Below are 25,523 nucleotides of genomic sequence, written 5' to 3'. Positions count from 1 at the left end.
AAACCATAATAAACATTAGGAACTAAGGCATATTTGAAAGTCCATTCATTTTACAACCATTTAGTACATCACACATTCTTAAAACTGGGAGGGATATGAAGTAAGTTCATTGGTATTAAGTATAGATTGTATGTTTGAAAGACTGAGACTATTTGGTAGAAACTGTGGATTATGCACATTTGTGCCAAGCAGATGCAAATATATTAAGATAATTCATGTGAAGTATAGTATAAGATGAGTTAGGGAAACAGAAAGTCACCTTCAAAGGGATTATTTTGAGAAAGGAGAAGGTATAGGGATAGTGCTTCTTCAGCAGCAGAAATGGATTTAAAAAGTAATAAACTAGGAAATGTTGAGATGGTAAAGAGATTAACTGCAAGAATTTCTATCAGATGATCCAAATCTTCTCAGTGACATAGGTTGCAAGGTGACAACTACAAGGTGTAACTGCAGCATTATCCAAGCCTAGGCTAAGGAGAGTGAAGACAGGCTGCAGGAGGAGGAAGCCAGGGCAAAGCTGTAGAGCTGTGCTTCTCCATGCGTGTAAGTGTCCAGTATATATCCAAATGACATTGAATGGGACTGAAGAGCAAAGACTCAGAATGCGTCAAGTCTGCTTGCATTGGGACTTTGTGTTCAGAATTTTAAATCTTAGACACAGAACCAGTAAAAGCAATGGGGATAGTTTAGATTACTGATGGTCTTCAGGAATTTCCAGTCAATTGTTTCGTATTAGGATGTAGTACTAACTTCTTCAAAAGATTTATTAGAATTGTGACTCTCAGACCGCCTAGCTAGTTTGATATAAACAGAGCCCTCAGAATTTTTTTCCCATGAACTTCTCCACCCTGCCAATAGACTTAGATATAAAGGTTTTAAGAGCTTTGTTCCCTTAAAACAACTTGGGGCTGCAGTTGCCAATGGAAAGTTGTCTTCTGCTGTAAGTCATAACTGCTAGGAAAGCTTCAGTACTTTTACCTTCACAGGGGTTCCCTTTTTTTCCCCCGCCAGGCCTTTAACAAATACAAGAGAGAGGGGTTTTGCCTTCAGAATGTTGATAAGGCCCCTTTGGCTAAGAGAAGAAAAATGAAAAAGACTAGCACCAGTACCGAGACGCGCAGCAGTTCCAGTGAGAGTTCCCATTCTTCTTCCTCTCATTCTCACGGTAAAACTACACCCACCAAGACACTGCAGCCCAGCAATCCTGCCGACAGCAATAACCCGGAGACCCTCTTCCAGTTCTCGGACTCAGTAGCTTAGGCATGGTAGGAGTGTATCAGTGATCCATTGCACCTTTATTCCCTCAGCATATGCCTGAGGCGATCTTTTATGCTTTTAAAAATGTTTCCCGTTGGTCTCATTGGAATCTGCCTCCTAATGATTTTTTTCAGGAAAACCTGTTTGGTTATCCTCATTCAAAAGCACTGGACAGAGAATGTTACTGTGAATAGAGCACATATTACTCTTTTTAGCAACCTAGCATGATGCCAACAAGACTATTCTTGAAAGAGCAAAGGTTCCTGTAAATTTAATTAGGGCTAGATTTGAGCTGCTTGTAAGTCACAGGTTTTCCAGATGTCTGCCAACAAGAAATGACTCATACTGTGATGATACCTTTTGCTTTGCCTTGTGGACAATGTGGGTTTTTGAAATTTGCACCCTTCAAACAATGATTTATCAGAGAAAGGGGTCTGTTTTCAAAAAAGATTCTGTAATGAATTTTATGTGTGGCATATACTTATTTCTTGAGAGAAGATTTTAACTTATTGTTTTTATTTTATGGTTACATATGATGATAACCTGCTATTATTAAACTTTTTCTAAAAAGTGAAAAAAAAAAAAAAAGATATAAGAACTCAAGGTCCCATACTCTGTATTCGGGATCCATCTGAGATGCATGCTAAGCTATGTGTATGTTTTTAATTTTGCACTGCTCTTTCCTGGCAATTTGTTTTAATGGTTATTGCAGAATATTAAGGTACATGTCTCTCTGTTTTAAGTAATATTGCACTTTATAAAAAAGTATGAATAAAGCAAACTATTTTATAAAGTGCACTGTTTAAAGCATTTGCACTGTATTTTTGCCATTTATTTTCATTTTCTACTTTAAATTTGTCCTCACATTCCTCTTCTACTTTGTATGCAACAAGTAGAATGGGGCATGTTGTGTCATGTAGTCAGCCACTTATGCACCAATGTGAGGAAAACCTAAAGGGAAATTAAACTAAACACTGTGCTTCATATTTGTACACTGTGTTGTACTACAGTGAGGAATTTCCTCCTGTAGTCATATATTATGTACATAATATTTTAGAATCATACCTATGACTTGTTTGGAAATTTTTCTGTTAAATTTTAAATCCAGAAAGCATATTTTATAAACTTATGCAGAGCACTTTTATTGCTCAAAAGTTCTGAATTCATACAGAAAACAAGTACTATGTGATGAAAACATTTCATTAAAAGATTGCTGCATTTAAAAATACAATTAATTCGTTCCCTATGCAAAAAAAAAAAAAAAAAAAAAAGAAGTGATAGGGTTTGTGTGTTATATTTTCTTTTAAAGCCATCATGTGAAATGTCAGGACTGAGAAAAGTGATTTTTTTGCTTTGTTTACAGGAATCATGCTTAAAGAGATAATGCCCAACATGTTTATTTTATAGTTTTTGTTAATGATAACCTTTTGAGCATTAGTTTGGAATTTGGACATGATATTTATTTATTCCTTTCTTGAGGTTATAGCAGCATTAATTTCAACCAGTTATGAATACTAAAAATATTGCACTCTATGTAATAGTAGTATATTTATTACTAAATCAATGTATATATTAATAGCACAGGCAAAAAATGGCAAATATTAAAATATTTTCAAAATATTATATTATCCTGTTCACATTTTGTCCACAGTGGTTATTGGGAATAATATTTTACACTTTTTGCTGGCCCAAATGGCTACATAATATTGAGTTAATGAAAGTTTTCTACTCCCAGCTTTCAGTTATTCCTAGTAATTATGGGAAATTTTGTGTGAATTATTACCAAACTATTGCTAATTCACAAAATGTGATTCCATCAGGCACAGATCTCTAGTAATCAAGAAAATGACCATATTTATAATTATATTGGACATATTGGGAACATATTTGGCTCTTCAAGCCATTTTTTAAACTGTGCATCCTGGTAGAAAATACTAGTTATAAAGTACAAACTAAAGGGACTATGTTGCTAATAGAAAATGATCCAGAAAAATGGTCAGACAGTATACAGATTGATGATGTGATTGATTTCATTGTGAATATTGGAAATTAATGGGTTTCATTTTCATTTATTTCCCTTGCCTCTTCTTGAGGAGGATTCGACAGGCGATGAAATGGGTAAAAAGGCAGTCAGACTAACAGGAAGAAGGAAAGATAGGCTAGCTGTCAACTGATGAGCCTGCCTGAATAATCTCAAATGGGCTTTTGAAAAGACCTTAACAAACACTGTTGCACTCTTGTCAAATATCTTTATCTACACCCTACTTATAAGTACCAAAAAGACAGCATTTGATGCCAAGTTTGAAGCAGTTAGGTCCTATGCAGGCTGTGTATTAACATACAGTGAATTGCACTTTAAAATTCAGAAAGCTTTCATTTGGTCACATCAAAAATAAACACTACAAAATATATAAAAAGTTAAATGATAGGACTCTTTTTTTGGTATTAAGAGTAAAATAGAAGAAGATCTAAGAAATACAAATACTTACATTATTTCTCCTTATGACATTAACTTTGGGACTAGAGCCACACCACCCCCTCCCTTCTTCACTTACTGATTGTATTGCATATAATTTTCATGCCAACATAAATCCTGATTCATATATTTTGTAACTGTATATGACAAATTGAGAGGCAAGAATAAGAAAAGGAAGATAATAGAGGAAAGATGTTAAGAAAGACCAGTTTCTTCTAATTACTCTGCCAGATCGTGTGTCTGAAAGAGGTTAATTAGCATTTTGAAATTGATTGGCTGAGTGTGGTGGCTCAGGCCTGTAATCCTTGTGCTTTGGGAGTATAAGACTGGAGAATCACTTGAAACCAGGAGTTAGAGACCAACCTGGGCAACATAGTGAGACACTGTCTCTCCAAAAATAAAAATAAAAATTAGCTGAGCATGGTGGCTCATGGGAGGCCAACATGTGGAGGATCGCTTGAGCCCAGGAGTTCGAGGCTGCAGTGAGCTGTGATCACACCACTGCACTCCAGCCTGGGCAACAGAGCGAGACCCTGTCTTAAGAAAAAAAGAAATTCATTAATTCTTCCAAACCTTTATAAAGTAAGAAACCACTGAATTACTAGAATAGAAAGTCAGTCTCCTGAGTTAATTTCCACATTGTTGTCTGTCTTGGAGTCACAGGTTCATTACCCAAGAAAACTGCCTTTTAATTTTTTTAGATTACTGTTGATTTCTTAAGTATGTAAATGACTAACTTTTAAATATAAGGTAAGTTATTTTAAAGAAATCTACTAAGATAGAAGTCACTTTTTTTAAAGTAAGGAAATTCCTTTTGTATCTCAGTTTATGTTCTCAAATACACTACTTTATAAAAGTATACAATTGACTGGATACTTATTCACCTTGCCCCCATTTCAAGCGCCTGTTATTGTCATATTTATTAAAAACAGGGTACCTCATAATGGTGAAAATTTCTAAATTATTGGGTCTATATGTGCCTTAGACTGCCTGATTACTTTGGCTGTTCTCCCAGTGACTGATAATAATAGCATGATTTGAGTGTTCATGTGAGAATACATCTAATATTCCTTAAGATCTAAGTAAATAAGTTAAATTCTGATATGCCACTTATGTCAAAATAATTGTTATATAGATGAATTATTACTGTAACATCATGAAGTATCTTAAAATTATATGACTTTTGGCCTCTCAAATGTCTTACATGATAATACCCCAATTTCCAGTCTTTAATTGATTGTATACCTCACGTAAGTGTCTGTCATCACTTGATACCTGTATCTGGCACTAAAACAAATGTAGCCGGCTCTAATGAAATTTGAAGTTTGGATAGGAGACATTGTAAAACTCAAGAATGGGAAAAAAAAATTTTAACAGAAGTATGTATGAAGGAAATATTTTAAGTATAATCTACCCAAAGAAAATAACTGCTACAGCCAACATTAAAGGTTTTATTCCCTGTTTTGTTAAGTAACTTCACTCCAAATTGTGACATTCTTTAGAGAAAATATTTTCCTTAAGAGTAGTTATTTACGTGTTTTATTGGGGGAGCATATTTTCAGGGGGGCAACATCTTGCTAAGAACATTTGATTAGCCTCACTTCTGTCCTCACCTTCTATATTGCTTACTTTTCAAGATATTTCTTCTGAGCCCTTTTCTTTGTATGCCCAGCTCCCTGTTATGTAATTAAGTAGTTGATTACCATTCCAAATGCTTCCCCTACACAAGGCTGTTGTCCACCCTGTTTCATGAATTTGTGAATTAAGTAGGTGCCTAATATTTTCCTACTATTAGGGTGAAAAGGAATAAGAAACTAAAGTGGCTTCCAAATGTTTGTGTCTTGGTTTCTTCACCCTAGTGCAAAATAGGAAATGTTTATTGGCAGTCATTTCTTTTCCATTACTCCTTTTAACCACATTACAAAAAGCTAGGATTTTGTGTCTAGAAGGAGACTTGTATTAAAAGACAAGATTCTTAGTAGTTATTCATCAGGCTTAAGTTTCCTGGTGTATTTCTTGTGGGAGAGGTAGAAGGACATTTTGTAGTAGTATTCTAACTATTAATATAATGCTGCTTGGGTTATCAGAAAGTATTGAATACTTCAGATAAGTCAAGTTAGTATTTAGTATAGCAGCTGTTCTTCAGAGCACAGGAAACTGGGATAGTATGTAGTATTATGCTGTTTCCATTATTGTTTCTCATTGCATAACACTTTTAATTTATATGTTGGTATACAATTTGCCCCTTTACTAAAAAAAAAAATCTAGTTTCATTCTTGTTCCTTGCCACATTAAGCAGTTTTTTCATTTACGTTTTAAATTTTCTTAATATTAGAAGAAAAAGAAAACAGAACAAAAGAGAAATGTCATGACTTAGAAAAGGAAATTTTAAGTTTTATGGAATACTGTAGCTTTATTTTCTGACATTTCTGCTTATAGATAGATTAGAAAATCCTTGTTTCTTTTGTTTGCTTTGTTTTAAAATCCAGTAAGGTTGAGGAACTTGACATTTTAAAACTGCAGTTTTATTTTTAACTACATAAGAGGCTGGTCATGTGAAATGTGCACTGCTATGTTGGAATGGATATGTATGTGACAATTAACCTCATTAAAGCTCTGTTGCTGTGGTAGGCATTCAGTTATTCCTAATAGTTTATTTTAGGTACTATACTGCTATCCTATTTGCTGAAATTATAAATACTAGCAATGTACAATAATTCTCATTCTTTGGCTGAATAAAAACAGAAATTTAAAGGTGCTGTGTCACATAAACAGTTAATGCCTCAGTACTAAAGTTTTGAAAAATATTCCTAAAAACTTCACAGGCATGAATTTTTGAAAAGAAGAAGAAACCACATATACACATAGAGGAATTTTTAAAGACTGGCATTTTAAAGTATAGCTGGTAAAAATGGTATGTATCCTTATGTGTAGAATTTAAACTTCTTGAAAATAATCTAAGCTGCAACAATCTATGTAACTGCTCTTCCACAGTTTTACATAAAGATAAGAATTTGTCTTACTAAAAGGTAAATGGAAGATTAAAAAAGATGAAAAACATTGTTTTTCCTCTATTCTATGTGGACAATTAAAAGTATAGCCAAGCCTCAGCTCAAATGAGTTGCCTTTGTGTGAGACAGGGTCTCACTCTGTCACCCTGGCCGGAGTGCAGTGGCGTGATCACAGCTCACTGCAACCTCCACCTCCTGGGCTCAAGCAATCCTTGTACCTCAGCCTCCTAAGCAGCTGACTAAGTAGACTACAGGCATGAGCCACCATGCCCAGCTAATTTTTTTTTAATAGCTACAAGGTATCAGTATGGTGCCCAGGCTAGTCTCAAACTCCTGGCTTCAAGCAATCCTCCCGCCTCAGCCTCCCAGCTTTGCCCAGCCGTGAGTTGCTTTGTGAGTTGTCTTCCTTAACTGCATCAGTTCATCCCATACTCCGTACATGCACTTTTTCTCGTATTTTTCTGCTTTTCTATGGTGTGTCCACACTCATTTGTGTATTTCTACACTGGTATTTCACTACTTATTAAGATATCTGCATGTGGACCTACATTTATAAATTGTAATTCCGTTCAGAGAAATAAGAACTTGATTGGGACAGAGCTGGGAAATGTTTGTGATGAAAATTATTAGGAATAAGGAAATAATGATGCTGTGTGAGAAAGCAAGTAGACTTAAATTCTGAGATAGAAACATCTGCAATCAACATAGAGAAGGCTACTTTACAAAAATGTTATTTCAGTGCCCGTATGGACAAATCTCTTTAAAAGGCTTTGTCTACTGTGTACATAAAGGAACTTATAAGCTTCATAAAGTGCTTATTTTTCTCTAGGAAGCCCATGTGATAGCTCTCTCCTCTGTTTTCCCACTCCTTCCCCAGCTTTTCCTGCTGCCCACTGCTCCAAACACTGACATCCAGTGGCCAGAGACCAGTCCAAATGGAGCACTAAAACTACATATAGATAGTGATCATATTGTTTAAAATGTTATTGCAACATGGTGTGTAAAGTGCACAGGTCTGAAATATACAGCTCAATAAATGTTTACATATATATGCGCCCATATAACCATCATTCAGATCAAGATGAGGCTCCCAGTCAGTCCTCATACATAACCACCACTCTGACCTCTGTCACTGTTGTTGACATTCCTATACATGGAATTATCCAGTCTATAGGTTTTTGTGTCTGGTTTAATTTGATCAGCATTATGTCTGTGAAATGCATCTATGTTGTTGCATGTAGCAATAACAGTAGTTTGTTCTTTTTCGTTGCTCTGTAGTATTCCATCAGATAAATACATCACAATTTATCCATTCTCCCACTGATAGACATTTTGGTTGTTTGTAATTTTTAGCTTTTGTGTTTAAAGCAGCCATAAGCATTCTTGTGCATATATTTTAATGGACACGTACACTCATTTCTCTTGTGTGTCCACTTAAAAGTGAAACAGCTGGCTGCAGTGAGCCTTGATCGCACCACTACATTCCATCCTGGGCGATAGAGTGAGACCCTGTCTCAAAAAAACAGACAAAAAAAAGGAGTGAAACTACTGAGTCATAAGATGAATATATATTTAGCTGTAGAAGATATTACCAAATGGTTTTCAACAATGGTTGTACCAATTTACATACCCACCAATAATGTGTAAGTGTTCTAGTTCTTCCACATCCTCATCAGTGCTTGGTACCATCAGCCCTAGTAGTTTAGCCACTCTGACAAATGTGTATATTTGATTGTGGTTTTAACCATTCTGGTGATTTTGTATTTCACTGAGATTTTAAGGTGTATTTTCCTGATAAGTAGTGATGTGTGGAACACCTTTTTATATTTTTATTAGTCATTTGGCTATCCTCAATTAAGTGCCTGTTCAAGTCATTTGTTCATATTTATTGGGTTGTCTTTTTTTCTTACTGACTTGCAGGAGTCTTTTATATTTTATGGATATGAGGGTTTTTGTCTGATATTTTACCATAAATGTCTTCTCTTTAGTTTGCTTTTCTACTTTCTAAGTGCTTTCCTTTGATGACCAAAAATTTTATGAAGTCCAATATACCAGTCTTTTATTTAATTGCTAATACTTTTGCGTCGTATTTAATAAATGTTCACACCAAGGTTATGAAGATATTCTTATATTCTTCTAAAAGCTTTATTGGCCGGGTGAGGTGGCTCATGCCTGTAATCCTAGTGCTTTGGGAGGCCAAGCCAGGTGGATCACTGGAGGTCAGGAGTTGGAGACCAGCCTGGCCAACATGGTGAAACCCCATCTCTACTAAAAGTATAAAAATTAGCCAGGCATGGTGGTGCATGCCTGTAATCCCAGCTACGTGGGAGGCTGAGGCAGGAGAATCGCTTGAACCCAGGAGGCAGAGGTTGCAGTGAGCCAAGGTCATGCCACTACACTCTAGCCTAGGCAACAGAGCGAGACTCTGTCTCAAAAAATAAAACTAAAAGCTTTATTGTTTTACCATCCACATTAGGTTTACAGTCCATCTACTGCTGATATTTGTATATGATGTGAAATAGTAGCCAAAGTTTATGTATTTCCATATGAGTATTAACTTGACCCAGCACAATGTATTGAAAAGCTGAGTTGTAATTTTTATGAAGTCTTCATATCTGGTAGTGTAAGACCTCTAACTTTTATCTAATAGTTCTAATAGTTTTGGCTATTCTTAATCCTTTGCATTTCCATATACATTTTAGAATCACCTTGTTAGTTTTGGGGGCAGAGGATGTTAGGGTTTAATTGGTATTGCATTGAATGTATAAATCAATTTCAGGAGAAATTATATCTTACCAATTTTGAGTTTTCCAATGCATGGACATGGTATATCCCTCTATTTACTTAGGTATTTAATTTGTCTCACCAGTGTTTTATAGATTTACATGTAGAGGTTAGATTTATATCTAGGTTTTTGACAGTTTTACTTTATTATCAAATTGTTTTTAATTAGTTTATAGAAATATAGTTTTTTTGGTATATTACCCTTTCACTTAGAAACCTTGTTAAATTCACTTTTTAATTCTAATCTGTATATTATTTTAGATTTCTTTAAGTCTACAGTTATATCGTCTGTAAATAATGACAGTTTCATTTCTGCCTTTTCAATTTTTATTTTTCTTGCCTTATTGAGCTGATCAGGACCTCCAATAACATGCTAAATGAAGTAATGACAATGGACTCCTTAAACTTCTTCAACTCAGAATAAGAATTCAATATTTTTCTATTCTATATATATATATTTTTTTCTTTTCTTTTCTTTTTTTTTTTTTTTTTTTTTTTTTTTTGAGACGGAGTCTCGCTCTGCCACCCAGGCTGGAGTGCAGTGGCTCAATCTCAGCTCACTGCAACCTCCACCTCCCAGGTTCAAGTGATTCTTCTGCCTCAGTCTCCCGGGTGGCTGGGACCACAGGCATGCACCACCACCCTCAGCTAATTTTTGTATTATTAGTAGAGATGGGGTTTCACCATATTGGCCAGACTGGCCTCGAATTCCTGACCTCGTGATCCACCCGCCTCAGCCTCCCAAAGTGCTGAGATTACAGGCATGAGCCACCTCACCCAGCCCAATATTATGTTTTATTTAATTTTTTTATAGATATCATATAGCAGATTGTTTTATTTCTAATTTTCAGAGAGTTTTTACTAAATGCTTTTTCTGCCTCTGTTGAGATAATCTTGTATTTTTCTTCTTTATTCTTCAATTTTCAAATGCTGAAAATAGAATAAATTCCATTTTCATGATGTATTGCCCTTTTCATATATCAATGGATATAGTTTGCTAATATTTTGCCTAAGATTTTTGGATCATAAGGAGGATAGACCTAGACTGGGTGTGGTATCTCACACCTGTAATCCCAACACTTTGGGAGGCCAAGAGGAAGGATTGCTTTAGCCCAGGAGTTGGAGACCAGCCTGGGCAACATAGAGAGACCTCATCTCTACAAAAGATTAATTAGCCAAGGATGGTGGTGCACACCTGTAGTACCAAATACCTGGGAGGCTGAGGTGGGAGAATCACTTGAGTCCAGGAAGCAGAAGTTGCAGTGAACCAAGATTGTACCACTGTACTCCCACCTGGGCAACAGAGCAGGAGCCTAGCATTAAAAAAAGAAGAAGAAGAAGAAGAAGAAGGAGGAGGAGGAGGAGGAGGAGGAAGAAGAAGGACAGACCTGTAATTTTTCTGTCTTTAATATTTTTGTCAAGTTTTGGTATCAAGATTATTCTGGCCTCATAAAAAAAAAGTTGGAGATGTGTTCCCTTTTTTTCTACACTCTGGAAGAGTTTGCACCTGATATTATTCCTCCTGTTTAAAATAATTCACCATTGAAGCCACTTGAATGAGAAGTTTTCTTTGTGGGAAAGTTGTCATTAATTGGAATATATCTTGTCTACTTACAGTTAATGTAATTATTATTGGTTTTAAGTCTACCATCTTACAATTTCTTTTACATTTTTGTCCTATATCCTCTTGGTTCCTGTATTGTGTCTTCTTTTGATAAACCAAATATTTTCTTTTGTCCATTGTTTCCTCCTATGTTAGTTCGTTAGTAATTTTTAGAAATTCATTTAGTACCTTAAAGATTACAGCTTGTATCTTTGACTTGCTGCCTTAAATTGGTACATTACCACTTCCCAACAATGCAGGAATTTTATGACAGTTTAAATCTGTTTTCCCCTTTTTTTTTTTTTTTTTTGAGATGGAGTCTTTGTCGCCAGGCTGCAGTGCAGTGGCACGATCTTGGCTCACTGCAACCTCTGATTCCCTGGTTCAAGCGATTCTCCTGCCTCAGCCTCCCGAGTAGCTGGGATTACAGACACAAGCCAGCACACCCAGCTAATTTTTGTATTTTTAGTAGAGACGGGGTTTCACCATGTTGGCCAGGATGGTCTAGATCTCCTGACCTCGTGATCTGCCCACCTCAGCCTCCCAAAGTGCTGGGATTACAGGTATTCCCCCTTCTTCCTTTTATGTTATTGTTGTCATGTATTTTACTTCTACATTCTATGTATGTTTTATCTCTATATATGTGTTTTAGACTTCATAAGACATTATTTTTTTTTTTTTGAGACAGAGTCTCGCTCTGTCGCCCAGGCTGGAGTGCAGTGGCGGGATCTCGGCTCACTGCAAGCTCCGCCTCCCGGGTTCATGCCATTCTCCTGCCTCAGCCTCCCAAGTAGCTGGGGCTACAGGCGCCTGCCACTACGCCCGGCTAATTTTTTGTATTTTTAGTAGAGATGGGGTTTCACCGTTTTAGCCGGGATGGTCTCGATCTCCTGACCTCGTGATCCGCCCGCCTCGGCCTCCCAAAGTGCTGGGATTACAGGCGTGAGCCACCGCGCCCGGCCGACATTATTTTTATTAGTAGTACTACTACTATATATTTTAAAGACTCTGGCTGGGCACTGTGGCTCACGCCTGTAATCCCAGCACTTTGCGAGGCCAAGGCAGGTGGATCACCTGAGGTCAGGAGTTCGAGACCAGCCTGGCTAACATGGTGAAACCCCGTTTCTACTAAAAATACAAAAAATGAGCCAGGAGTGGTAGTGCATGCCTGTAATCCTAGCTACTTGGGAGGCTGAGGCAGGAGAAACGCTTGAACCCGGAAGAGGGAGGTTGCAGTGAGCCAAGGTCGCACCATTGCACTCCAGATTGGGCAACAAGAGCGAAACTCCATCTCAAAAAAAAAAAAAAAAAAATAGACTCTATATTGTTTGTTTGCTCACATATTTATGTTTTCTGGTGTTTTTCTTTCCATCCTGCCTTTTTTACTTCCATCTGGGATTACTTTTCTTCATCTGGAGAATTCTCTTTAGTATTTATTTTAGTGCCAGTCTTCTGACAATGAATTCTCTCAGCTTTTGTTTTTTGAAACCTTCTTTCTTTTGCCTTTATTTTTCTGTATTTTTATTTTTTTAAGATAAAATTCATGTATCATGTAATATACCCATCTAATCATTCCATTCAGATACAATTCAATGTTACCTTTATTTTTGAAGGATATTTTTGCCTTGTATGAAATACTAGGTTCACCATTTTATTTTATTTTATTTTTGAGACCAAGTCTCACTCTGTCACCCAGGCTGGAGTGCAGTGGCACAATCTTGGCTCACTGCAACCTCCACCTCCTAGGTTCAAGTGATTCTTGTGTCTCAGCCTCCCAGGTAGCTGGGATTACAGGCATGCACCACCACGCCTGGCTAATTTTTGTGTTTTTAGTAGAGATGGGGCTTCACCACATTAGCGAGGCTGGTCTCAAACTCCTGACCTCAAGTGATCTGCCCACCTCGGCCTCCCAAAGTGCTGGGATTACAGGTGTGAGCTACTGGCGCCCAGCCTAGGTTCACCATTTTCAAGATATCATTCCAATCCTTAAGTTCTGTGGAAAAAGCCATTAGTTATATTTCCTTTGAAGGTAATGTGTCTTTTTTCTGTGGTCACTTTTAAGATTTTCTCTTCGTCTTTGTTTTTATTTTTTATTATACTTTTAAGTTCTGGGTTACATGTGCAGAACGTGCAGGTTTGTTACATAGGTATACACGTGCCCTGGTGGTTTGCTGCACCCATCAACCTGTCACCAAATTAGGTATTTCTCCTAATGTTATCCCTCCCCTAGCCCCCAACCCCCCGACAGGCCCCAGCGTGTGATGTTCCCCTCCCTGTTTCCATGTGTTCTCATTGTTCAACTCCCACTTATGAGTGAGAACATGCGGTGTTTAGTTTTCTGATCTTTTGATAGTTTGCTGAGAATGATGGTTTCCAGCTTCATCCATCCTAAGATTGGTAAACTTCCTGAATCTGTTGGTTGATGTCCTTCCTTATTAGAATTCTTAACCAGTCATTCTTCAAATAGTTTTTTCCAATCCGTTTTCTCTCTCCCGTTTTCTAGGATTGTGTGTTATACTATGTTCCATATGTCTGTTATAGTCCTTTGTTTGCCATCTTAATTTCTCCCTGTACTTCAATCTGTATAGTTTTTACTGACCTAATTAACTTATCCTGTTCTGCTGAGCCTAATCAATTTTAAATTTAGTTGTATATCTTATATTTTGGATTCTAAAATATCCATGACACTTTTTTGTAGGTGCCAAGTCTCTGATCATATCTTGTCTTTTCCTCTATATTCTTGAACACATTAATCAAAGTAATTTTAAAACTCTTGTCTGAGAAATCCAGTGTCTGATTACTACTACTAGTTGTTTGTTTCCATTGTCTGTTGTCAGTCATTTGGTGCTGTTTTTTAGCATGCCTTATAAGTTTGGTGAAATGTCATACATTGTGTGTTAAATACTGTAGGGGCTTTGAACGATGTTATCTTCCTCTAAGATGGTTATGTTTTCTTCTTGCAGTCTGATAAAATACAGGCATATCACTGTAATCCTATTGAAGGTTGGTTTTAGACTTTGTTGGGCTTGTACATTTCAGTTTTGCTCTTACTCCTAGCATATGGCCTCTTTGGGCTCTCATCTGAAAATCTAGGGTGTTTATCAGGGCCACTTCACCTCGGTGACCTTGAATTCCAACCTTTCCCTCCTCAGTACTAAGAGCTGCTCAGCTCGTTAGCCTCTCATCTGCTGCTTTTTGCTGGATTTCTTGAAGTCTCACCTTGTTGCACAGGAGTCTGCAATTGGCAGACACCTCAAGGAGATACTGTACCAGTATTTCAGGCTCACTTCCCTGAGGTTTCTTCGCTCTGGGATTTTGCCCCTTAAGTCCTAGCTACTTTCCCAAGCTCCAACTTTTGTCTCTTCAACCAAGTGGGATTACTGCTTGCTGCTAGGTATTTATTTCCCTGTGTTGTGAATTTGCAGTGCCTTGAAGAAGTAATCAAAATGAACACAGAGCTCACCAAAGTGTGCTTCCCTTTTTTCCCTCCTTTCAGCTATTTTATTGCAGCTCGTCAAGTTCTCCCTGCATTGGTTTGCTCCCTGTTGCCTATAAAAGATGTTCTACTTAACCCTTTTCCTGTTTGCCCCAAGAATACTTGCCAGCAGCACTTGCTGCTGCAGTATTTACCCCAAGATAACTTTGCCACGAACTCTCGCTTTTATTATTACTTTCGTTTAGCTCTAGTATATTGACTTCAGAAAAAAAGGACATCGTTCTCTTTATAGCATTCTGTTCTTAGTAGTGGTATTTCCATTTACAAAGTATAATAATTCTCGATCGCTGAAAATGTCGAATCCTAGAAAATGTAGCATTCCTACACGTGATGTTAACATCATTCTCGAACAGTTCTTGGACAGAGATTTATTTAATGAATTCGATTTTTCTGAAATAGATGATTTTGATGATTCAGATGCTTCTGATACTAGATCTGTTTAGAAATAACATCAAGAACAGTTTTTATATTTTATTTTCACATTGAAAATCAGTCAGATTTGCTTTAGCCTCAAAGAATGTGTTTACGTAAAATTAAATGAATGCTGGCAGTGAGCTGTACTTTTTTTTTCTAAACCGGAAAAGGGTTAATATAGCTTTCATCGTTGTTTTCAGTAGGAGGGCTAGTCCAATCACAAGCTACTCTATTGTGGCCAAAAGCAAAAATCTGGTGGTAATCATTTTTAATCGCCATTGTTGATTTCTCCGCAGTGGCTTCTGGCATTGATAACTTGGTTGTCACATGGTCATATGTGAAGGCACCCGGTTTATTCATTTGTTCCTTTGTCCATTAAATAGTTTTTGAGCACTTCTTTCAGGCCAGGTATTACTCTAGACACAAGCAATATAACAATATTTAAGATAAGATCTGTGTCACTTTGGCACTTGCAGCCTGTTTTTATAGAAAGGCTACTAAATGGTTGCCGAGTCGGACTTGTGGTAATTAAAATAGACTTTTCTTGTGTGGGGGTTGGGAGTGAGAAAAAAGAGACTGGAATCTTTTAGATGATTACATCTTCTTTATATAAATATTTTTAGCCTTTTGAAAAAACTCTGTAGAGCTTAATGCAGTTCACAGTTCACCCACACTACATCAATATTTGGCCTACCTTTTGCAAGCCCAATTCCCTAACTATGAGTTTCTGTGTTACATAAAAATCTCACCGGGAGCACAATTATTTGACAATTTGAGTTGAAACTCCAGGAACTGATTTATGGAGAACAAACTTAGCTCTGAAATTATGTCTCTTTATGAATATCGACATGAAATCTGATGAAGAATCATCCTACTGTGGTTTCCCATTTTAACTTCTGTTTTTGAAAAACATTTCAGATGCAACTAAGCACTTATTAAATGCTTCGTGATACCAAAAAATGGCTTGGTGGTCTTTGTCTTCCAGAATAGCATAAATTTCAGTGTTACCAAGATAAAAATATAATCTGGGCACATGTCACTGTTAAAATATTATAGTCAGATCAAGGATTCTATTCCTGTCTTTGTTATTCTTTCCCACTTTTGAAACTTTATCCAGTGGATTTTTTTTTATTACAAAGACGTATTCCAGAGATAACAGTTTGTACTTCTGATTATGATCCATGTTCATGTGATCAAAAGGCAGCAATAATAGGACACTGTCATATATGGTAGCTCCATAGAAACTAGGCTGCACTGGGAGGACAGATTCGCCATCTTGAGCACCTGTGGCTTGGTATTCTCGAAATTGTAGCCCCTTTGGAATGGCTGAAGAACTACCAGTTAAAGGTAAAGAAACCAGACACACAAGGCCACGTATTGTATGATTCCACTTACATGAAATGTCCAGAATGGGCAAATCCATAGAGACAGAAAGATTAGTGTTTTTCAGGGGCTGGTGGGAGGGGGAAATAGGGAGTGACAATGTATACAGGTGATGGGGTTTTGGGGTGATCAAAATGTTCTGGAATTAGGTAGTGGTAATGGTTGCAAGACATTGTAAATGTAGTAAAAAACAATGAATGGTACACTTAAAATGAATTTTATCTTATATTTTAAAAAATCACACACAGGCCGTGCACAGTGGCTCACGCCTGTGATCCCAGCACTTTGGGAGGCCGAGACGGGTGGATCACCTGAGGTCAGGAGTTGGAGAACAGCCTGACCAAAAGGGAGAAACTCCATCTCTAATAAAATACAAAAATTAGCCGGGCGTGGTAGCGCATGCCTGTAATCCCAGCTACTTGAGAGGCTGAGGCAGGAGAATCACTTTAACCCGGGAGGCAGAGGTTGCAGTGAGCCTAGATCGCACCATTGCACTCCAGCCTGGGCAACAAGAGTGAAACTCCGTCTCAAAAAAAAAAAAAAAAAAAATCACGCATAGCTAGAAAGGCTGTAGCTAGTTTGAGGAAGTCAGTACTAACACCTGGCTATTCAGAGAATGCCATCCTGCCCCCCTTTCTTTGGCATCAACTCTGAAGCATAGTTATGTTATGGTTGGAAAATCTTTTCTAACTAGAGATTAAGCTCTTGGGGACAAAGTAAACTTGCCTCTTACAGGAAACACCAAAGTTCCAGCTTAACAGAGAAAGGGAACCTCCTTGGGAATCATACTTTTCCCATTATTGGGTAGTGCTCGGACAGATGTCAAAGTGCTGTATGTTTCCATGGTGATCATATCCAGCTTATCATTACTTGTATCTTTGCCCTAAAGTTTAATTTCTTACTTTGGGACTCATTATAATAATGGGAGCACCGGCCTTTTGGGAGGCCAAGGCGGGTGGATCACGTGAGGTCAGGAGTTTGAGAGCAGCCTGGCCAACATGGCGAAACGCTGTCTCTACTCACGCCTGTAATCCCAGCACTTTGGGAGGCTGAGGCGGGCGGATCACGAGGTCAGGAGATCGAGACCATCCTGGCTAACACGGTGAAACCCCGTCTTTACTAAAAATACAAAAAATTAGCCGGGCGTGGTGGCGGATGACTGTAGTCCCAGCTGCTCGGGAGGCTGAGGCAGAAGAATGGCGTGAACCTAGGAGGCAGAGCTTGCAGTGAGCCGAGATCGCGCCACTGCACTCCAGCCTGGGCAACAGAGCAAGACTCTGTCTCAAAAAAAAAAAAATACAAAAATTAGCTGGGCGTGGTGGTGGGTGCCTGTGGGCCCAGCTACTTGGGAGGCTGAGGCAGGATACTCTCTTGAACCCAGGAAGCAGAGGTTGCAGTGAGCCGAGATCACGCCATTGCACTCCAGCCTAAGCGACAGAGTGAAACTCCGTCTCAAAAAAATAAAAAATAAAAAATAATGTAAGTACCAGGCCTTTGTTTGAGTTCAGTTTTTCTTTGGTGAGCACTTTTCTAAAATCTCTCTCATCTTACCTATGTTAACTTTGTCTCAGAAGCAGGCTCATTTGTGCAGTTAGCTGAAATATTTATTCAGAAAGTCATTTATAGCAGTTGTCTTTTCATCAAACATAATACCTTTAAAATAGCAGAAAATTAATGCCATTCATGATTTTGCCATTTTACTAAGTAGTCAGAAGCTATGTCTCCCTTAGCCCCATCATATACATTTGAAATATCTTTATCCTAGATAATCTGTATTCATTTGAATGCAAAAGTTTTATCAATATGAGTGAACTTATACATCTTTTTATTCGCTGATGGAGATATCACTTGAAACTTTGTTCCTGGCAAAGCAAAGAGATGAAATGTATTGAAAAAAATCGATTAGACTTTTAAAACTTCAAAATACTTTTATAGAAAATGTAAATAAGATTGTTTCTAACTGCAGAGTGTTTTACATAAAATCTTTATGTGAAGAATTTATATTGCAGTACAATAAAGTCAGTGCTTTTTATATGTTTTGAATGGTAAACATTTTGAAGGTATTTTTTGAAGTAACTAGGTATTGACATTTTTTAATAATATATTTTGAATAAAGCACACCTAAAATGCATGAACTTGTGTAAGTATTTGGCATCATTAGTCTAGTTGTACATATTTTTAAAAATAAGAATGGGCTTAGAAGATAATGTATTTGTAGTAAGTATAGTATATTTTTTACTGAGTGAGTCTGATACGTCTTTTAGATATTTGAGTAAAGTCTACTGTTAAAGTATTCCAGATTTTTAAATTCCAGTGTCCTTGCTGTGGAATCTAGTGTTGGCTTTCTGATGTCAGAATAATCAAACCCTGCTCATATACACATCCAGAAAACTTTTTCTAATGATGATACATTTAGCAAAATCGCAAGTCTTTAAAAATTCTAGTTAAATAGACTTACTTGAGACAAGTGTACATTGTGAAATCTAAAATAAAAATTTGTGACTATATAATACATAATCTTCATTATGTAGGCTATTTCTAAAAACTTAGTTTCTGTGCTGATTTCATGTTAAGTTTTTCAAACGTTAGCAGATTATAATGGCTACAGTAAGTTTTGTTCTAAATCTGGTAGCCATTTATTATTAAATGATTAATGATTAAACATTAATCATTTAATAATTACTTAGGAATTATAAATTACAATGTCAAATCTTCATACATCAGGCTCCTTGCACTATAATTACTTAAAATTAGTTTGCATCAATAGTCTATATAAACAGATATCTTAGTTTAGAGGAAAAAATATTCTATTTTCTAGGTACTTTAATAGTTTGGTCTTGTGAAAATTACATAGGTGTGTGTTTATGTATGTGTATACACACATGTATTGGGGGCTTACAATACCAAATTAATAAGACTGCCCCTCACTCCTTAAATCGACTATCTGCCCTGCCAGTAATCCCCCACCTGTACTGGTATATACAGAGTTTTCTCTGGTACAAATGATTAATCAAGAAAAAGGGTGTGAAATATTTGTGTTCGTTTCTTTTTAAATGAATAATGGGATACACATAAACTAGTAACACCACATTGATTTCCTAAAGACCTAATACAGCTTTAAGAGGGAATAACATTCCAGAGCTCCAGGATTATTTTAATTTAGCTTTCAAGATGGTTACGATTTTGATTTAATATAGAGACTTCATAGTGTTAAATTTTAGGGTTTTTTTTTTTTTTTTTGTATTTTTAGTAGAGATGGGGTTTCACCATGTTGGTCAGGCTGGTCTCGAACTCCTGCCCTGATGATCTGCCTGCCTCGGCCTCCCAAAGTGCTGGGATTACAGGCGTGAGCCACTGTGCCCAACCTAAATTTTAGGTATTTAAAACATCCATTGATGCTTTGTTTTGTTTTTGGGTTTTTTTTTTATTGTTGTTACTTAAGGGATGCATCTTATTTATTTGGTTGACTTTTATCTAGACATCATAAATGTGATGCTTACTTTTTTATTAGCCACTTCATTGTTGATGTCTTAATGGGAGATCTTAGTTTGATGAATCTACTCTTTGAAATTTTAGTTTGATTAGTCATTTGTTTCTGCTAGGTTTTGGCTTTTGTTTTGTTTTTTGAGTGATAACCTAAGAAGTTTCTACAGTGGAAAATATCATTATGACATCTTCATCCCTTATAAAGTTGTTTCATTTAGAGGAATTTTTCAAAGCCTATGTTGAGAAATGGGCAAATTAAGTAAAGCATCATAACAATTTTTTTTATAGTGAACTCATTTTATTTATAGAACGGCAAACACATTCACTCTTTTTGCTAACATCCGGGGCTTTTTTCATTGTGACTGCTTTGCACACTTAAAAATGTTTCTCCCAGGCCGGGCACGGTGGTTCATGCCTGTAATCCCAGCACTTTGGGAGGCCGAGGCGGGCGGATCACAAGGTCAGGAGATTGAGACCATCCTGGCTAACATGGTGAAACCCTGTCTCTACTAAAAATACAACAAAAATTAGCCGGGCGTGGTGGCAGGCGCCTGTAGTCCCAGCTACTGGGGAGGCTGAGACAGGAGAATGGCATGAACCCGGGAGGCGGAGCTTGTAGTGAGCCGAGATCGCGCCACTGCACTCCAGCCTGGGCGACAGAGCAAGACTCTGTCTCAAAAAAAAAAAAAAAAAAAAAGTTTCTCCCAGCAAAGGCTAACTGGAATTTATTTTTGTTTAAAGACAAATACTTTTAATGTGGATAAAATAAAAGTTGGAAGTATGCCTTTCATGTGGCAAACTGGAAATTAGTGGTTAGTACTCCATTGCAGCATTAAATACCAATTCTTTACAATAGGGTGCACATATCAGATGCTGTTTTTCCCTTAACCTTTGCACTTTTCATTGAAAATGTTTTCAAATCAAATCTTGTTTTATTGGGTTTCACATGATTGGACTAATACTTACATATATGCTTCTTTTTAAGGTATTTAGACATTGACAATTAGTTATTTCCTTATGAGCCATAGCTTTGAAAAACCATTTTAGAAGAAATTTCCATTTTTTAAACAAAAGTGTTGGGAGGCCGAGGCGGGCAGATCACGAGGTCGAGACCATCCTGGCTAACATGGTGAAACCCCGTCTCTAATAAAAATACAAAAAATTAGCCAGGCATGGTGGTGGGCACCTGTAGTCCCAGGTACTTGGGAGGCTGAGGCAGGAGAATGGCGTGAACCCGGGAAGCAGAACTTGCAGTGAGCCAAGATCGCACCACACCACTGCACTCCAGCCTGGGCGACAGAGCGAGACTCCGTCTTAAAAAAAAAAAAAAAAAAAAAAAAGTGATTTTTTAAAGAAAAGATACCGATAATTTGTCTTTGCTGTAGATGAATGCCACGTTTTTATATACTAGGACTATTACTGAATAATACTGTTTATTTCTTTAGATCAACGAATATATTAAATTCTGTCTTTTTTGTTCAAATAAACGCTGTGAGATGATTGGGAAGGCTGTGTGTTGAAGTTAGATGCAAAGTTGGACCTTGTACAGTGAGCCTCTTGTGAGAACTGAGCCATGAAAGATAAAGCCTGTCATTCATGTCTGCCTTGGCCTGTGCCCAGCTTTATTAGTAAAAACCATTCAGTTTTTACTAATGATATCTACCAGTATCTAAAGAGAAATACCTTCATCCTCTAGAAGAAAACAAGGTTACCCAAAGAGCTCACTTAATTCCTTCCTTTTTCCCTGAACCCTTGGTTTTAAGTGAAGAGTAAAATGTACTAGATATGACACTCTCTCTGAGTATTACTGAGGATTTTGTGGAAAAGGCAGTTTGGTACTTTATTTCCAGCTTAGCTGCAGACTTGGTGACCCTGAGCAAATCACTCAGCCTCCCTTTGCCTCCATTTCTTCATCTGTAAAATGGGGTTAACCTGTGCCTCCCTGTCTCACCAGCATACTGAGGGATCGATTAAAGAGGATTAAAAAAATCCATAAGGTACACTGATTCCAAAGATGGGTAGAATGATATTTAATAATGAAGACTTTCTGTTATATAGCAATTTAATTTTAAAAGTATCTTTACCAGGCCAGGTGCGGTGGCTCACTCCTGTAATCCCAGCACTTTGGGAGGCTGAGGAGGGTGGATCACGAGGTCAGGAGATCAAGACCATCCTGGCTAACACGGTGAAACCCCGTCTCTACTAAAAGTACAAAAAAATTAGCCAGGCATGGTGATGAGCGCCTGTAGTCCCAGCTACTCACGAGGCTGAGGCAGGAGAATGGCATGAACCCGGGAGGCGGAGCTTGCAGTGAGCCGAGATCACGCCACTGCACTCCAGCCTGGGGGGCAGAGTGAGACTCTGTCTCAAAAAAAAAATAAAATAAAAGTATCTTTACCCACTTCTCTGTAGTGAATATTGACTAGCATTTTGAAGTAGGAACTAACAAAGTATAAAATTAAGTAGATTTTTTATATTTATGGGTATTGTTCTAGTACAAATTTATGGTGTACACTGTCGGTCTGAGTGTGGGTTTAAAATATATCATTGTGCTTGGCTAATTTGTAGAATGTCTTATTTGAATTGACTTCATTTATTTCAGAGGAATGCATAGATGATCAGATCAAACTGTCGTCATAGCAGTGTTTTCAGCACATACGAGAATCTTAGAGTTTAGGAGCCTTAGAGCTCACCCAGTGCAATTTCCTGCCGGAAGCAGATTCCTTCCTGGTGACCTCACCAACAGGTGCTTGTGCAGCCTTTTCCTGAAAACTTTTTGGGAAAGTGGGGGCTGCTACCTCACTACTTTGATGTGTACCTTTTGTTCAAGAACTTTCTAAAACTTGGAGCTAATCATGGGTTATTTCAGAAGATGTAAGCATTTTAAGTTTTTTATTGAATTCCATCCTTATTTAAAAGGCCTGGTTATGTAATATTTTCTGTTTTTTTTTTTTTTTTTTGTATGGTTTCCCACATTGATTAGGTTGTTTTCTTCATTTTCTTAATAGATTAAAAATACTTTCTTCTCTTTCTATTTGTGTCTTCTTCCATTTAGTATTTATGGGAGGGAGCAAGAAGGGAAAGGATGTCTATTTTTAAAATTGACTACAATCATGACTGTTCTTCTTGTCATTCTGTAGCAGCTGGATTTATTACCATCTCTTATTTAAAGGTCCTTCAGAACACGTTGAAGCAGTTCATTTCAGGTCAATGGCTGGTAAGCAATGTCAGGACCTCTGGGGAAGGAGAAGCTGACGGGATCCCAGAGGAAAGAATTGAGGTTGTTTGCTCCCTTGTAGAAAGCCCACAGATCCCTTCCCAGACTAGAAAAAAAGTGCCAGAGTGTCCTGAAACTTTCCTTCTAAGGCACATACTTCAAAGAGACTGGGGATTCCTTTGTTTTAAATATAGGTGGGGTCTCACAGTGTTGCCCAGGCTGGGCTCAAGCGATCCTGCCACCTGGGCCTCCCAAAGTGATGGGATTACAGGCATGAGCCACCATGCACGGCCATGGAGATTCTAATGTGGTGCCAGCTGCCAGGTAAGAAAGCTGTGAGACAATGTGTTGATTTTCCTTTACTACGTCAGGTTTGAGGACATCATCTAGCATCAACGGGTAACGTCACCCTTTGTTCCATCTTTGGGAAATAATAGTAGTAGCTTGTTACTGTTAGCTGACCCCTACATTAGCATCAATAAAGTAAATCCCTTTAACTTTCCTTTTGGCCTTTCCTTTCTCTCTCTCTGCCTCCCCACCAGCCCCGACTCTCTCCTGTGTGCGTACACATCCACACACACCTCCATGGTATTCCTTCTTTCTCCCACCTAAGGGAAGCTGTGCCCGATCTTGCTGCAGTCCAGGTCACCGTACTGAGATGAGTCAGCCACAGACTCTAAACACTAGCAGCGATTAGCCGTATGTAGCCACCAAGTGCACTGTTTTAGACAGGTTTACACAGCTCTTTGCTGTCCACTCATATCAGCTGTGTAGTAGCCCAAGGCAGCCTGTCAGGCAGAAGAATTACCAACCAAAGTGGATCTATTCATAAGATAAAAGATCCGGAGTCCGTGCCCTCTTAAAAAACTTTTGTCTTCAGACATATGGGTGCGTGTTCATCTCTGGCCAAAACTTTGTTTCCAGTTTCAAAGGGCTGGTTGCGAAGGTGGCCTTGTAACCTTTCTGTTGCCGGCTCTGTTAGTTGCCTGATAAGCAGTAGCTAATTCATCCTCCTCAGAATTTGAGAGTGGCATCTATTAGATTCAGACCACCAAGGTGCCTGCGCGGGCTCTCCTGGTTACGACTGAGTCCCCTTTTCTCATCTGTGGGGTGAACGCTTCTATTTGCAGAAATTTGCTTGCATCTTTTTCCTTTTATTTATTATTACTTTTTAGAGATGCGGCCTTGCTCTGTTGCCCAGGCTGGAGTGCGGTGGACTCTTTTCTTTTGTTGATCTTTGCCATCCTCTGCCTGGCTTAATGAGGTTCTTTCCCTGCGTATTTATGTCCCAGGAGCTCACCTTCCCCCTAGGTTTTTAAGAAGGAAGCAGAAAATGTTACAAAGTATAAGGGATTCTATGAAGTCCATAGATAGGATTTGCTTTGGGAGTAGATGATTTCTTCTTATTTTGGTGTAAACATCAATTTGGATGGCAATTAGAATGTCTTTAGCCTCTTTAAAAAGCCCTTCTGGGGCAAACCTTTGCAAGTCACTCAGCTGGCATGTAATGAGATTTTTATTTGCATGGCTTTTTTTTTCTAAGTCTCTCTAGAAGAACATAAGGACATTCTGAACATGCAAGGAATACAGTTATTCTCACATCAAGGATCAATTTTATTTTGTATCTTCATTTTATGTCATTTTCCTTTATTTTATTCACATTAATCTAGCATTAATTCCCCCCAGAGGGAATGATATTTTTGGTTGCTGCCACCTGTGTTATTAAGTGACAGCTTTTCTTTATCTGCTTTTCTGAATTTCATATTTATATACTTTATTGTAGTTTTTTAAAATCTATTCTAGCTGGGCTAGAATCTTCCAAGTATTAATTCATAATGAACTTCCCTCTTCTGGAATTGTTTAGGAGGGCTAATGTTCCATGTTCCCTTCGTTGCTATAGATATGAAGTTATTTCGATGTTCTTTGAGTGCTTTATTATAGCGATAACTGGTACTGCCTTTGATTAAAGGTGAGCTATATGGAGTTAAGCATTTTTATACTAGTAACTATTTATTGAGAATTTTCAGAATTCTATAGCTACTTGTCTTTAACAGTTATAAGAGGCATGTATTTTTTTTTCCTTCATGGTCTGGAAGTTAGTTTTCTCTTTGTTTGGGTAGATCGGAATGAGTTGTTGAGCTGTGTTGAAAACACACATGAATCAAAAAAGCAGATGTATTGTAGAAATGTGATGTTTTCATGTTTCGGGAATTTGACCGGAAAGCTTTATGTATGGGTTTTATTTTTAACAAAGCAGTAAGGGCTTACTTTTTACCAACTTGTGTGTGTGTAAAGATGTATTTGTTCAAGCTTTAAGAATAAACCTGTCAATGTACAAATGCCTGATATCTGACTTGGACTTGTGGTTTGTTTGTTTGTTTGTTTGTTTGCTTTTC

The 25,523-nt window shown here is 37.6% G+C and overlaps 1 protein-coding gene across 13 annotated transcripts in view, besides 1 other annotated feature; it reads left to right on the top strand.

Moving 5' to 3' along the window:
- Positions 1-25,473, top strand: part of RPS6KA5 (ribosomal protein S6 kinase A5) — a 212,781-nt gene extending 187,308 nt beyond the window's left edge. For all 13 annotated transcript variants that reach the window (NM_001322232.2, NM_001322228.2, NM_001322236.2 and 10 more), the window contains one exon: positions 1,012-25,473. In NM_001322232.2, the coding sequence (NP_001309161.1) occupies positions 1,012-1,260 (249 nt within the window). In that variant the 3' untranslated portion in view covers positions 1,261-25,473. The remainder of the gene's footprint in view (positions 1-1,011) is intronic.
- Positions 23,086-23,852: an enhancer, noted in NCBI's record as "H3K27ac hESC enhancer chr14:91315826-91316592 (GRCh37/hg19 assembly coordinates)". NCBI's record gives its function as "activates a minimal SCP1, AML or CMV promoter by ChIP-STARR-seq in primed H9 embryonic stem cells {active_cell/tissue: H9 hESC(primed)}" and the evidence as "EXISTENCE:reporter gene assay evidence [ECO:0000049][PMID:30033119]".
- Positions 25,474-25,523: the final 50 nt, after the last annotated feature.

Source organism: Homo sapiens, chromosome 14 (genome assembly GCF_000001405.40).
Source record: "Homo sapiens chromosome 14, GRCh38.p14 Primary Assembly".
Lineage (NCBI taxonomy): Eukaryota > Metazoa > Chordata > Mammalia > Primates > Hominidae > Homo > Homo sapiens.
The sequence above is the reverse complement of the archived record's forward strand: the minus strand, read 5'-3'. Positions and strand labels throughout refer to the sequence as shown.